The 15,707-nt window shown below is 39.5% G+C and overlaps 1 protein-coding gene across 5 annotated transcripts in view, besides 1 other annotated feature; it reads left to right on the top strand.

Annotated features, from left to right (window-relative positions):
- The window catches only part of PPP1R2 (protein phosphatase 1 regulatory inhibitor subunit 2), a 28,898-nt gene extending 25,105 nt beyond the window's left edge, over positions 1–3,793 (top strand). For all 5 annotated transcript variants that reach the window (NR_133014.2, NM_001291505.2, NM_006241.8 and 2 more), the window contains one exon: positions 1,279–3,793. Coding sequence is in view for 4 of the 5 variants with exons in the window: in NM_001291505.2 (NP_001278434.1) it covers positions 1,279–1,325 (47 nt within the window). In the remaining variant the exon portion in view is untranslated. The remainder of the gene's footprint in view (positions 1–1,278) is intronic.
- Positions 1,183–1,383: a silencer, noted in NCBI's record as "peak4984 fragment used in MPRA reporter construct". NCBI's record gives its function as "represses an SCP1 promoter by STARR-seq MPRAs in K562 erythroleukemia cells {active_cell/tissue: K562}" and the evidence as "EXISTENCE:reporter gene assay evidence [ECO:0000049][PMID:32103011]".
- Positions 3,794–15,707: the final 11,914 nt, after the last annotated feature.

Genomic DNA, 15,707 nt, shown 5'->3' with positions numbered 1-15,707 from the left:
CCAGCCCCTGCAGCCTAGCAACTCCTGATCTGTCATAGGAAATAGGTTTTATTTATTTTTTATGAACTGTTACTCTGGTATTTAATGAAGTGAATCTTCTGCATCACTAATGGAGATTTTTTGTGCCCACCACCTACTCCTTGTACTTACAAACTTCATACTTTTCAGTGGAGGCGTAACTGATGTTATTTGTGGTGCCCAGAATGGTTAAGTCTTAGGAAATTAAATAATTATTGTATTACCATTTTGGTAAGCATAGTATTAAATATGAATAATTCTATGATACAGCCTGATGAGTTGCTGTCTCATAGTGTCAGGATTACAGTACTTTTTGTTATTCCGTAATATGCTTCAACCTTTTAGTCTATTTCATATAGCCTTTCATTTCCATTATATATCCCATAGTCTGTTTAACTTATATTTAACTTGAGCAAACTTCATCTTACATAGTAGCTGTGGCATGTTTTTATTATCCATTTTTATTTTTATTTTATTTTTTGTTATAGAGGCAGCGTTTTTTGTTTGTTTGTTTTAACGCCATTTCTTTTGAAAAATAACTATGGCATTTTGTCCGTCTCTGCTTATAAGATATTACATTTCACATATTTAGTACATAAATATATTTTTTGTTTAAGTTTAATGGAGGATTAAAATTTTGTATTAGGTCAGTGCCTGATTTTTCTTCACTGGAGATGAAGTACACCTTGCAAAGGAGTATATCCTGCTTAGCATTATAAAACCCACAAGAATAGGATAAGACTTAGGGAAATAAGTACCTTATTTACCCCCTACCCTTTTTGGGCCCTTAACATTTTACCAGCTTTTCAGATCTCTAAGTTCTATAGAACCCATTAGTTTTGGGACAGTGCCAGTCTCCTCCCTTCCCCCTTTCCTCCCCCATTCACACAATTCATTGGAGAAAATGACATGTTTGGACTCTTAGGTGATATTTTATAGCTTTCAGGTAATAAATATGTATCTTTTTATAGCTCTGGATATTGGAGTTGTCGTAAACTCTTACCTTTCCACCTGTGACTTACAGAAATGTTCAATCTGAAACCTGTTTGTTTTATCAGCAAGTAGACACTTCTGTTCTTTAGACTATTTAGGGGAGTGTATAGATTCTTCAATTTCAGTCTAAATCAGCCTACATGAAATATACCTTATTTGTTTTTAAAATTTTTATATTTGCTTGTCATGCATGCTAATAGAAGGGAACTTTAGCCAGGGTTGACAACATATAACAAATTATGTTGACTTTTTCTTTTATCTTTGCAGGATCTACTCCAAGTGACCAACAGCAAAACAAATTACGAAGTTCATAGACGAGATTTGTTCAACACTGCAATTGTTTGTTAGATGTAAACCCTGTGACTATAGTACGTTGCTTCTTGTTCTTCACAATTCATGACTTAAGTACCAAAATGCATACCAGTTATTATATATTGCCAAGAATTAAATGATAAACTTAGAGACTGATTAGACTGAAAATGCCTAATCGATATATATATTCTTGTGCCTAGTACTTTACCACAAATACAGTGTAATATCATCAGTCCAAAACTGCATTACTTTTGTAAAAACACTGGTTAATTTGTATAAGATATTATAGAGCTTTTTATGCTTTAGAAGTTAAACAATATCTTTGGGGGGGAACTAATTTATTTTCATCACTTGAAATGTGGTAGCTCTTACAAAGTTTATTGATTTGATTTTTTTAAAAATCAAAAGCCAATTGAACAACAGGATATATAGACTGATAAATATTTAGGCTGAATAGTATTTTAACACTTGTCTTCAACTTGATTTGTCTGTTTAATTGAAAAGAATTATAAGAGTTACTGTTGCATTTTCTGACCTACTATTTTTAAAATTCCTGTTGAGTTTCTTTGTGTTTACAAGGAAAGGACTGAACTTTTTCTCATCAAAACTAGCTTTTTTCCCCACAAATAAATTATCAGGTTAAACTTTCACCAATGTCTGCTCTGTTTTTTGTTTTTGGGGGGTTTTTGTTTGTTTTTGTTTTTTAATGTTTTTGGTACACTGGGCAGACTTCAGAGCAGTTTTTTAAAAAAATAAATATTCTAATGTAGCTATCTCGCCATTCCCTTTAAATACCTGTCTTAACCTCCTGCTTTTCTTTCCTACTCCTTTCCACACATACGCACACAATCTTCTACCTTTTAAAGGATCATTAAGACTGTCACCACATTAGGAGCTCTTTCTCTCACTCTTCTGTCATTTGCTGCTATGTTGAAATTCTTATTTTGACCATCAATGCCTATGAATTCTTCTAATACGTGAAGAAAATAGTTTGAGTAGCAGCAGTGCTATAGGTGGGAAATACAGTTTAGCTGCTGAATTTCTATACCTCTCTGATTTACAGATTGCTAATTAAATGGCTATTATTAGTTTGGATTAATTAGACTTAAGAAAACAACTAACTGAGGGTTTTTTTTGTTTGTTTTTTGAGGGTTTTCTTTGCATGAGAATTGTATGTAACCAGTGATATGATTATTCCTGAATGTACAGACAGAAGTAAGCCTGGACATTGTTAAATAGTCCCTGCTTTAAGGGACTACGATAATGTGTACTATGACAAACGTGCTTTATTCTTCTAACGCAGTAAGAATTAGGTGGAATTTTTTCCTTCAACCAAGTGCAGGAAAGCCCTGTGTGTCTTGGTTTAGTTATGGTTTCATTTCTAGCCATACAATTGATGAATTGTGTACAACTTTTGTTAGTACCAAAATAATCTGTTATATGAACAGACTTCTAAAATAACGTCTGTATATTTTATATATAGATACATATATGAAAGAAGGCTTTTATTGAACAGCTTATCTTCCACTTGCAGGTTTATGGAAACAGCAGTATTTGAAAATAAATAAAAAGTGGGAGAATTCCTTGCTGTTAGAAGAATGTGGCCATTATTTTGATTTTTTGAATGAGATATATAATCAAAGTACTGCTGAACTGTGAGTGCAGTATTCTAAACATTTCAGCTAGGAATACCACTGATTTAGAAACAAAACTGTTTGTCTCTGGTTTCTGAATTTAAAATGTTGGGATTACCTGTTTAAATCTGTCTTGGGGGATGTAGAGATTAAGTCTGTACATGTGCGTGCACATATATTCATGCACCCTCTGATTTTGGTTTTCTTGTTTCTGAGTTCTTAGAAAGTACCCACATACTCTTTTTTTTTTTTTGTAGAAGTAGCTGTCATAGAGTGAAGAAAAGGATAAGACTTTAAACAGTTGATTCTTTTTGTGTTTTCTACAAACTATTTTTTGAAATTTAAATCACAAACTCATTTTCTGGTTTTTAGAAAGTAGATGATGATTTCAGAGGAGTAAGGCATGCCAAGCAGCATGCTCAGTGGGGTTTTAGGCTGTCACATGCAGCTGAGAAAAGGTATGTTCAAGTCATAAGTAGGTAATTGATAGGGTATGAACTAGTCAAAATATGAACCATTATGATTCAAGTTAGATTTTCCTCTGGAGAGACAGATCTGAATGTTCAGTTCTAGCCAAGGTAGATTTTACTTTCAACTTTTTAATCAGTATCACTTTCTGTGCTTAACTATTTGGTGTTACCTTGTCTGTTTTCATTTGTCTAAAATTCTGCAGAGATGACTAAAATTTGACATAATGGTGTAAATGGATTGTTAAGGTAACTTTCAGTTGAAGATTAAAGCAAGATGCCATTTTCCCCATGACTTTGGTTTTGTTTACATTTTTCCCTTTCAGTTAGTATACACTACACGTACTGTAATAAAATACAATAATATGACAATTGCCTGTGTGTGGATTTTATTTTATTGTTACTTAGCTATCTCAAGACCATAATCCATCGACCACTTGCCCTGGATACCAGGAGTGGATCATGGATTACGCTGTGGCCGAGTAGTTTCCTCAGTCTTAGTAGCATTGTGCTCAGTCCCTTACATCTAACCCTCAAAACCACCACACAAAGGCAAGCATTCTTATCTACACTTTGTAAGTGAGGAAAGTGCTCTTGGTCAACTTATTTATTAATCATTTCAGTGCCTCACACATGCTAAATGATAGGATTTAAATCCAAACCTAACTAAATTTCATGGTCTTTATTCATACATTTTTTGATGTAGAAAACATTTTAGAAATTGTACCTTACAAATAAATGTATATGGATTATTGATCCATAACTATGCTTTAGGAGTAGCATTTTTCAGGTGTTTGAGCTTCTGGGGTTTTTTAAAATCTGAAAAATTGGAAATAACTTAATTTTGTTTGCAGTTTGTGTGCCATCTAGGAAAAATCGCTCAAAAGCACAAATAGCCAGTGGCTGGAGATGAATGCATGTCATTTGGTTGTGTTTTGCAAGTTTGTTTCTTAGCAGGCTGTTTCAAGCTCAGAACGTGATTTTTTTCATACAATCCATCTTAACAAGTCAAGGACCGTGTCAGCCTATAAAAGCCAACATGTACCCAACACAGGATTGCCCAGTGTGTTCCATGAAACCCTTATCCCACACCATGCTCCGTGAAAATGAGGCAATAAACAAGCCTCGCACATACTGTGTACTTTATTCCCCAGCCTCTTGGAGACTTATGTACATTATTATCATAATAAGGAGTCTGAGCAGTCCTGCTTATAGGAACCTATTTAAAACTTAGTTTTACCTTTTTCAAACATATCTCACTGTAACCACCCCATTTTGTCCATCAAATAACATCCCAAGTAGGGCAATAGGCCAGGGTCTCTCATATATCAAACTTGGACTTTCTCCTAAAAGAGGAAGAGAATGGTTTATCAGTGAAAGAAGGAAGACATGGTAGCAATAACTGCAGGGTATTGATGGATCGGATACAACTTGCCAAACATAAGATTTTACTTTTTGGTAACTTATGCAAGAAACTGCAAAATATATATTCAGGACAGATTAATGTGTAGTTGTGGTTGGTTATAAGCTGCAGTGGTTTTGTACTGATAGACTAGTATTCCAAAGACCTGCTGCTCAAGCAGATTTTTGGAATGTCTTACACTCGCTGTCCACTCTTTGCATAGTTGGTTGACAAGAGCACGTCTGCTACCCGTCAAGAAAATAGAAGAGCAGATAACAAGTGTCTCTGGTCTGTGGCTCATACCCCCAAACTTGGTTACTCCAGCAAAGTGGTTTTGGGATTCGACTCATCAGGTTTTTGATTTGAGGAATTATTGGGGGAGGTAACGCTGAGAGTAGGTGAGTGAGGATGCATTTGGCAAGTGTTTAGTCATGATTTTATCTCAACTGCCCAACCTGAAATTTTTTTCAGTAAAGTCTGCCAAGTGTTCGGCATTTCAGTTCTATTACCAATGGGAATTGTTGCAACTGGAAGATAACGCCTATAAATTGCTCCTATCTGTTTAATTGTGTGTGGATTGATGACAGTGTTGACTAGAACTAGAAGAGGATTCTGCAGGCTAATCTTTTATATCTTAATATCATTTGACCTCACTTATTAAGCAAAGAGGATTATAAGCAGCTTTTCAGTATGCCTTGTTCTAATGGTTCAGTCTGAAAAAGTGTTACCAATAATAGACTAATGAAATGAACATAGGAAGCAAAGTTTAGTTACATTCTCGTTTAGTTAGGCTTCTTGGTCTTGGAAGTATCCCTGTATAAGCAATTACTTAGCGTCAGAATTCTATGTTTTTATCTTCCTATGTAAAAGACACTCTCAATTGAAAAATAAGCATTTTATCATAGGGCACTGTGCCAAGCTAAATTGGGAAATACACACATAAGATTATTTCCCTGCCTTTAAAGAGTTTCAAGCTTAGGTGTGCAGAGCAGAGAGGGAGCGCTGCTTTGCAAGAACAAGGAAGGAGTAAGAAGACATTCACCCTCTGCAGCCATTCTCAGGAGGCCTTTCTGGTAGGTGAGACTGAGAAGGCTGGGCTAGCAAGCCACTGCCATTTATCAGAGTTTTATGTGGATTTTCTTCGTACCAAATGAAGATCTCCGATATGTTTGGTTTGGCTCTGTGTCCCCACCCAAACCTCACATTGAATTGTAATCCCCATTGTTGGGGAGGGACCCAATAGGAGGTGATTGGATCATGGGGGTAGATTTCCCCCTTGTTGTTCTTGTGATGAGGAGTGAGTTCTCAGGAGAGTTAGTTGTTTAAAAGTGTGTAGCACTTACTCCTTTTCTCTCTCTCTCCTGCCACATGTGAAGATGTCCCTACTTCCCCTTTGCCTTCCACCATGATTGTAGGTTTCCTGAGGCCTCCCAGTCATGCTTCTTGTTAAGCCTGTGGAACTGTGAATTAATTCAACCTCTTTTTTAAATAAATAACCCAGTCTCAGGTAGTTCTTTATAGCAGTGTGAGAACAGACTAATACAATGTCTCTAGTCACCTACCTCAAAATTTTTCCTAAGCAAGACAGTTCTCACAAAAATCAGAAATGTCAGATGATTTTTAACACAAAAGCCTGGTACAAATGTTGGATTTCAGAAGTTGAAGCAGATTTGTGGATTGTTGCCATTTAAGCTTCTGCTGCTGTTTTAATAATCCCTAAGTTGATTTACTGGGGGACAAGGGGCTGGGGAAGGAAGGGCTGGGTCAAAACCACAATATGGAAGTCTTGCTTTAGCTTGAAACTGTCTTAGGAAATGTGCTTTGGTTCACTGCTAACTTTGAAAAGCAAACTGGTCCCTGCTTCCCCAAGTAGGAGTGTCTGAGTCTTTGTGTGTATTTTAGAGACAGAGGCTCACTCTATTGCCCAGGCTGGACTCAACTCCTGGTTTCAAGGGATCCTCCCACCTCAAGCCTCCCCAGGAGCTGGGACTACAAGTACACACAGCTATACCCAGCATTTTTTTTTTTTTTTTTTTTTTTTTTTTGGAGAACAGAGTCTCGCTCTGTCGCCCAGGCTAGAGCACAATGGTGTGATTTCAGCTCACTGCAACCTCTGCCTCCCAGGTTCAAGTGATCCTCCCACCTCAAGCCTCCCGCGTAGCTGGGACTACAGGCACGCACCACTGCCCAGCTAATTTTTGTATTTTTAGTAGAGATGGCGTTTTGCCATGTTGGCCAGGCTGGTCTTGAACTTCTGGCCTCAAGTGATCCACCTCCCAAAGTGCTGGGATTACAGGCATGAACCACTGTGCCCGGCCAATGCCCAGCTTTTTTTTTTTTTTTTTTTTTTTTTTGAGATGAAGCCTTGCTCTGTTGCCCAGGCTGGAGTGCAGTGGTGTGATCTTGGCTCACTGCAAGCTCCACCTCCCAGTTTCACGCCATTCTCCTGCCTCAGCCTCCTGAGTAGCTGGGACTACAGGCGCCTGCCACCACACCTGGCTAATTTTTTTTTTTTTTTTTTTTTTTTTGTATTTTTAGTAGAGACGGGGTTTCACTGTGTTAGCCAGGATGGTCTTGATCTCCTGACCTTGTGATCCGCCTGCCTTGGCCTCCCAAAGTGCTGGGATTACAGGCGTGAGCCACCGCACCCGGCCCTATGCCCAGCTTTTGAGAGTTAGTTTTTCATGGTAAATCACAAAGTATGTAATCCAATCTAGGACTCTTAAAAACAGTCCTGGGAGATGGGGTGGAATTGAACAGATTACTAAGTAAATTGAACCCAGAATAATATTCTCTATTACTCTAAGCTTCAAGCATTGTTCTGTAGACCTAGAGTCTGAAATTTTCTGGACTCAGTGAGGACACACTGATAAAGCTGAGAGGAAAAGATGTTTGTTTTTTAGAACATTATTAAACCTTTATTAAGCACCAAGTATGTGCTCAGGAATTTTGCTGGGGAATGAATGCACATTGAAAAGGTAAATAAAAAGTGGTTCTTAGAACAAAGATATATAATCACTGTGACAAAAAGCAAAATATATATAAAAGAGGTAGAACAGAAGAATCACGATGTCTATTGCTTACATGTCTTACATGTCTTATGTATATCATAAACATCATGTTCGAAACTGAGTTTTTTTCCTCCAAACTGTTCTTTTTTTTTTTTTCCTGAGACAGAATCTTGCTCTGTTGCCCAGCTGGAGTGCAGTGGCAGGATCTCGGCTCACTGCAACCTCTACCTCCCTGGTTCAAGGAATTCCCCTGCTTCAGCCTCCCAAGTAGCTGGAATTACAGTGCAAGCCACCACGCCTGGCTAATTTTTTTGTATTTTTTAGTAGGGACGGGGTTTCACCATGTTAGTCAGACTGGTCTCAAACTCCTGAGCTCAGGCAATCTGCCTGCCTCGGCCTCCCAGAGTGCTGAGATTACAGGTGTGAGCCACCACACCCGGCCCCTCCCAACTATTCTTAATAGCTCTATCCCCCACTCCAAACACTCTCCCAAAATCAATAACTGAGCACCACATTGTCTACCTTGATTCATTTCTTTCTCTCAAATACTCAAATCCAGTCCATACCTTCATCATGTATCTAAATCTCTCACCATCTTCAGTCTCTACTGTAGATACCTTAGTCAAGCCATCATACTTTTTAAAAAACTTTTTAAGAGGCAGAGTCTTGCTCGGTTGCCCGTGCTGGAGTATAGTGGCACATTTATAACTCACTGCATCCTAAAACTCATGGACTCAATTGATCCTCTCACCTCAGCCTCCCAAGTGGCTAGGACTATAGGGATGTGCCACTATGCCTAGCTAATTTTAAAACATTTTGTAGAGAGGGGGTTTTGCTAGGTTACCCAGGCTGGTCTTGAACTCCTAGCTTCAAGTGATCCTCCTGCGACAGCTTTCCAAAGTGCTGGGATTACAGGAATGAGCCACTGCACCCAGCTTTCCAGTCCTTTTTTTTTTTTTTTTTTGAGACGGAGTCTCGCTCTGTCCCCCAGGCTGGAGTGCAATGGTGTGATCTCAGCTCACTGCAACTTTGCCTCCCGGGTTCACGCCATTCTCCTACCTCAGCCTCCCGAGTAGCTGCGACTACAGGCGCCCGGCTAATTTTTTTTTTTTTTTGTATTTTTAGTAGAGACGGGGTTTCACCATGTTAGCCAGGATGGTCTCGATCTGACCTCATGATCCGCCCGCCTGAGCCTCCCAAGGTGCTGGGATTACAGGCGTGAGCCCCCACGCCCAGCCTCCAGTCCATTTTTTAAAAAGCAGTAAGTGTTGCTGTCCTACTTAAAGCCTTTCAGCAATTTCTCTACCATCCTTAAGAATGAGTCCAGGTGTCTTAGACTGACTGACAAAACTTTGTACTGGCTCCCACATACCTGTTCAAATTTTTTGTGCCACTCCTACTTAATTATTTCAGTCATTAGAAATTTTGTTTTGGTTTTTTATTCAGTTTGTACAGTTTACTAAGTTTCTCTTCTCTGTTAGGGCCTAGATACTAGCAAGCCCCTCTGCTGGAAATGCTCTTTACTAATTTTTCATGCAACTTTTCTGCTCATTCTTAGGTTCAAACGTAACTCCCCCAGAGGTGCTATTTCCTGCCTATTCCATGTAAAAAAGATGTCTTTCCTATGGTTCTCAGACTGTTTCCTCAACTTGTTGGTTTATTTGCTTGTTGCCTGGTTTCCTCACTAAATAAAAAGCTCCATGAAGACAGGAGCTCTTTCCCTTACTACAGTATTCTCAGAGCTTGGTATGGGCCAGCTCAATAGAACTCTCAACAAGTATGGCCAGAGTGAATAAAAGGATGATACCTGCTCATAATGTGATTCACCTTTTCCTTTCTATTAATGTTTCCTCATGTTTCATGTTTGAATATTAGAACCAGAAAGAAACCAAAAATCAGCTAATTTCCTTAGAAACCAGAAAGAAACCAGAAATAACTAATTTCCTTAATTTTTAGAGGCAAGCAAAGGGAAGTCAATATTACTCAACTGGTTCTTGGCAGAGGAGAGACTAGAATACAGTTACCCTGACTCTTCATTTTCACAATAAATCTCTCCTTGGACTGAACCACTGTGGCCCTGTCTCGCTTTGGTGGTTATCTTTTTTCCAGAGTGGAGAGTATTAAGAATTAACACATTCAGGATAATCTGAAAACAAGCTCTTACACTGAAGTAAAATTTCTCAAATCAGCTGAGGCCTTGTACCAAAACTCCAGCTTGTAAGCATTTTTGGAAATCTTGCTAGAGAGTGGTGCATTTTCCAATATTCAAAAACCAAACATAATCTTTACTCATTGACTCCAGCTTGTTCTTATGATGAACATTGATTATTGTTATATATATATATATATATATTTTTTTTTTTTTTTTTTTTTTTGAGACGGCGTCTCACTCTGTCGCCCAGGCTGGAGTGCAGTGGCGCGATCTCAGCTCACTGCAGCCTCCACCTCCTGGGCTCAAGCGATCCTCTCGCCTCAGCCCCCCAGTAACTGAGACTACAGGAATGTGCCATCATGCCCAGCTAATTTTTTTTTTTTTTTTTTTTGTATTTTTGGTGGGGATGGGGTTTCACCATGTTGCCCAGGCTGGTCTCAAACTCCTGAGCTCAAGCGATCTGCCCACCTCGGCCTCCGGCCTCCCAAAGTGCTGGGATTACAGGCACAAGTCACCATGCCTAACCCAGAACACTGATTATTATACTATCTGAAATACAGTCTTGTCCTCAAGAACCCATTGAAGGGATTCTTCCTGAGCTTTAACATGCTGGGCTTTTTCAACAGTAAGACATCTGAGGATCATTACCAGCTTAATGTGTGTGGGCTTTGTGACTGTTTTCCTTGATACCAAGAGGCTTCTTTTCATTTCGAGCCTCCTGTCTGTGTTTCTGGATGTTAGAAATTGCCAAAAATCTCTGACTAGGGTGAAGGGGTTGTTACTGAAATGTAATACCTCTTGAATGGTGACCAGCCCTGTTTCATGAACTCATTTAACACTTTTGGAAAAGATAGCAGTTCTCCACTTTTGTGCTCCAACTAGAACATGAGTCAAAGAAAGTTTTGTGATTTTTTTAAAATAAGCTTTATTTTTTAGAGCAGTTTTAGCTTCACAGCAAAACTGAGAGAAAACTACACAGATTTCTTATGTACCATCTGCCCTCACACATACATAACCTCCCCCATAACCAATATCCCCCACAAAGTGGTACATTTGTTATAATCAATGAACCTACAATGACACTGACCCAAAGTCCATAGTTTACATTTGGGTTCACTCTGGGTATACTACATTCTATGGGTTTGGACAAATGCATAATGATGTGTATCTACCACTGTGATGTCATACAGAGGAGCTGCGCTATATCTACCACTGTGATATACAGAGGAGCTTCACTATATCTACCACTGTGATATCATACAGAGGAGCTTCACTGTACCTACCACTGTGATATCACACAGAGGAGCTTCACTATATCTACTAATGTGATATCATACAGAGGAGCTTCACTATATCTACAACTGTGATATCATACGGGGGAGCTTCACTATACCTCCCACTGTGATATCACACAGAGGAGCTTCACTATATCTACCACTGTGATATCACACAGAGGAGCGTCACTGTATCTACCACTGTGATATCAGACAGAGGAGCTTCACTATATCTGCCACTGTGAAATCACACAGAGGAGCTTCACTATATCTACTACTGTGATATCATACAGGGGAGCTTCACTATATCTACCACTGTGATATCACACAGAGTAGCTTCACTATACCTAGCACTGTGATATCATACAGAGGAGCTTCACCATATCTACCACTGTGATATCACACAGAGGAGCTTCGCTGTGTCTACCACTGTGATATCATACAGAGGAGCTTCACCATATCTACCACTGTGATATCACACAGAGGAGCTTCGCTGTGTCTACCACTGTGATATCATACAGAGGAGCTTCACTATATCTACCACTGTGATATCATACAGAGGAGCTTCAGTATATCTACCACTGTGATATCACACACAGGAGCTTCACTATATCTGCCACTGTGATATACAGGGGAGCTTCACTATATCTACCACTGTGATATACACAGCAGCTTCACTATATCTACCACTGTGATATCATACAGAGGAGCTTCACTATATCTACCACTGTGATATCATACAGGGGAGCTTCACTGTATCTACCACTGTGATATCATACAGAGGAGCTTCACTATATCTACCACTGTGATATCACACAGAGGAGCTTCACTGTATGTACCACTGTGATATCACACAGAGTAGCTTCACTATATCTACCACTGTGATATCACACAGAGCAGCTTCACTATATCTACCACTGTGATATCCTACAGGGGATCTTCACTATATCTACCACTGTGATGTCACACAGAGGATCTTCACTATATCTACCACTGTGGTATCATACAGGGGAGCTTCACGATATCTATCACTGTGATATCATATAGGGGAGCTTCACTATATCTACCACTGTGATATCATACAGAGCAGCTTCATTATATCTACCACTGTGATATCCTACAGGGGATCTTCACTATATCTACCACTGTGATGTCACACAGAGGATCTTCACTATATCTACCACTGTGGTATCATACACGGGAGCTTCACGATATCTATCACTGTGATATCATATAGGGGAGCTTCACTATATCTACCACTGTGATATCACACAGAGGAACTTCACTATATCTACCACTGTGATATCATACACGGGAGCTTCACTAAATCTACCACTGTGATATCACACAGAGGAACTTCACTATACGTACCACTGTGATATCATACATGGGAGCTTCACTATATCTACTACTGTGACATCACACAGAGGAGCTTCACTATATCTACGACTGTGATATCATGCAGAGGAGCTTCACTATATCTACCACTGTGATATCACACAGAGGAGCTTCACTGTATCTACCACTGTGATATCATACAGAGCAGCTTCACTATATCTACCACTGTGATATCATACAGGGGAGCTTCTCTATAACTACCACTGTGATATCATACAGAGCAGCTGCACTGTTGATATCATACAGAGCAGCTTCACTATATCTCCCACTGTTATACAGAGCAGCTTCACTATATCTACCACTGTGATATCACACAGAGCAGCTTCACTATATCTACCAGTGTGATATCACACAGAGGAGCTTCACTATATCTACCACTGTGATATCATATAGAGGAGCTTCACTGTATCTGCCACTGTGATATCATACAGAGCTGCTTCACTGTATCTACCACTGTGATATCATACAGAGGAGCTTCACTATATCCACCACTGTGCTATCATACAGAGGAGCTTCACTATATCCACCACTGTGATATCATACAGGGTAGCTTCACTATATCTACCACTGTGATATCATACAGAGGAGCTTCATTGTATCTACCACTGTGATATCACACAGAGGAGCTGTGCTATATCTACCACTGCGATATCATACAGAGCAGCTTCAGTGTATCTACCACTGTGATATCATACAGGGGATCTTCACTGTATCTACCAGTGTTATATCATACAGAGCAGCTTCACTATATCTACCACAGTGATATCACAGAGACGAGCTTCACTGTATCTACCACTGTGATATCACACAGAGGAGCTTCACAGTATCTACCACTGTGATATCATACAGAGCAGCTTCACTGTATCTACCAGTGTGATATCACACAGAGGAGCTTCACTATATCTATCACTGTGATATCATACAGAGCAGCTTCACTGTATCTACCAGTGTGATATCACACAGAGGAACTTCACTATATCTACCACTGTGATATCATACAGAGCAGCTTCACTGTATCTACCACTGTGATATCACACAGAGGAGCTTCACTATATCTACCACTGTGATATCATACAGAGGAGCTTCACTATATCTACCTCTGTGATATTATACAGGGCAGCTTCATTATATCTACCACTGTGATATCATACAGAGGAGCTTCACTATATCCACCACTGTGATATCATACAGGGGACCTTCACTATATCTACCACTGTGATATCACACAGAGGAGCTTCATTGTATCTACCACTGTGATATCACACAGAGGAGCTGTGCTATAGCTACCACTGTGATATCATACAGAGCAGCTTCAGTGTATCTACCACTGTGATATCATACAGGGGAGCTTCACTATATCTACCACTGTTATATCATACAGAGCAGCTTCACTATATCTACCACTGTGATATCACACTGACAAGCTTCACTGTATCTACCACTGTGATATCACACAGAGGAGCTTCACAATATCTACCACTGTGATATCATACAGAGCAGCTTCACTGTATCTACCACTGTGATATCACACAGAGGAGCTTCACTATATGTACCACTGTGATATCACACAGAGGAGCTTCACTGTATCTTACCACTGTGATATCACATAGAGGATCTTCGCTGTATCTACCACTGTGATATCATACAGAGCAGCTTCACTATATCTACCACTGTGATATCATACAGGGGAGCTTCTCTATAACTAAAACTGTGATGATATACAGAGCAGCTCCACTATTGATATCATACAGAGCAGCTTCACTATATCTACCACTGTGAGATCACACAGAGGAGCTTCACTATATCTATCACTGTGATATCATATAGAGGAGCTTCACTGTATGTACCACTGTGATATCATACAGAGCTGCTTCACTGTATCTACCACTGTGATATCATACAGAGGAGCTTCACTATATCCACCACTGTGATATCATACAGAGGAGCTTCACTATATCTACCACTGTGATATCACACAGGGTAGCTTCACTATATCTACCACTGTGATATCATACAGAGGAGCTTCATTGTATCTACCACTGTGATATCACACAGAGGAGCTGTGCTATATCTACCACTGCGATATCATACAGAGCAGCTTCAGTGTATCTACCACTGTGATATCATACAGGGGATCTTCACTGTATCTACCAGTGTTATATCATACAGAGCAGCTTCACTATATCTACCACTGTGATATCACACAGACGAGCTTCACTGTATCTACCACTGTGATATCACACAGAGGAGCTTCACAATATCTACCACTGTGATATCATACAGAGCAGCTTCACTGTATCTACCAGTGTGATATCACACAGAGGAGCTTCACTATATCTATCACTGCGATATCATACAGAGCAGCTTCACTGTATCTACCAGTGTGATATCACACAGAGGAACTTCACTATATCTACCACTGTGATATCATACAGAGCAGCTTCACTGTATCTACCACTGTGATATCACACAGAGGAGCTTCACTATATCTACCACTGTGATATCATACAGAGGAGCTTCACTATATCTACCTCTGTGATATTATACAGGGCAGCTTCATTATATGTACCACTGTGATATCATACAGAGGAGCTTCACTATATCCACCACTGTGATATCATACAGGGGACCTTCACTATATCTACCACTGTGATATCACACAGAGGAGCTTCATTGTATCTACCACTGTGATATCACACAGAGGCGCTGTGCTGTAGCTACCACTGTGATATCATACAGAGCAGCTTCAGTGTATCTACCACTGTGATATCATACAGGGGAGCTTCACTATATCTACCACTGTTATATCATACAGAGCAGCTTCACTATATCTACCACTGTGATATCACACTGACAAGCTTCACTGTATCTACCACTGTGATATCACACAGAGGAGCTTCACAATATCTACCACTGTGATATCATACAAAGCAGCTTCACTGTATCTACCACTGTGATATCACACAAAGGATCTTCACTATATCTACCACTGTGATATCATACAGAGCAGCTTCACTGTATCTACCACTGTGATATCATACAAAGC

The sequence above is a fragment of the Homo sapiens genome, chromosome 3 (genome assembly GCF_000001405.40).
Source record: "Homo sapiens chromosome 3, GRCh38.p14 Primary Assembly".
Classification (NCBI taxonomy): domain Eukaryota; kingdom Metazoa; phylum Chordata; class Mammalia; order Primates; family Hominidae; genus Homo; species Homo sapiens.
The sequence above is the reverse complement of the archived record's forward strand: the minus strand, read 5'-3'. Positions and strand labels throughout refer to the sequence as shown.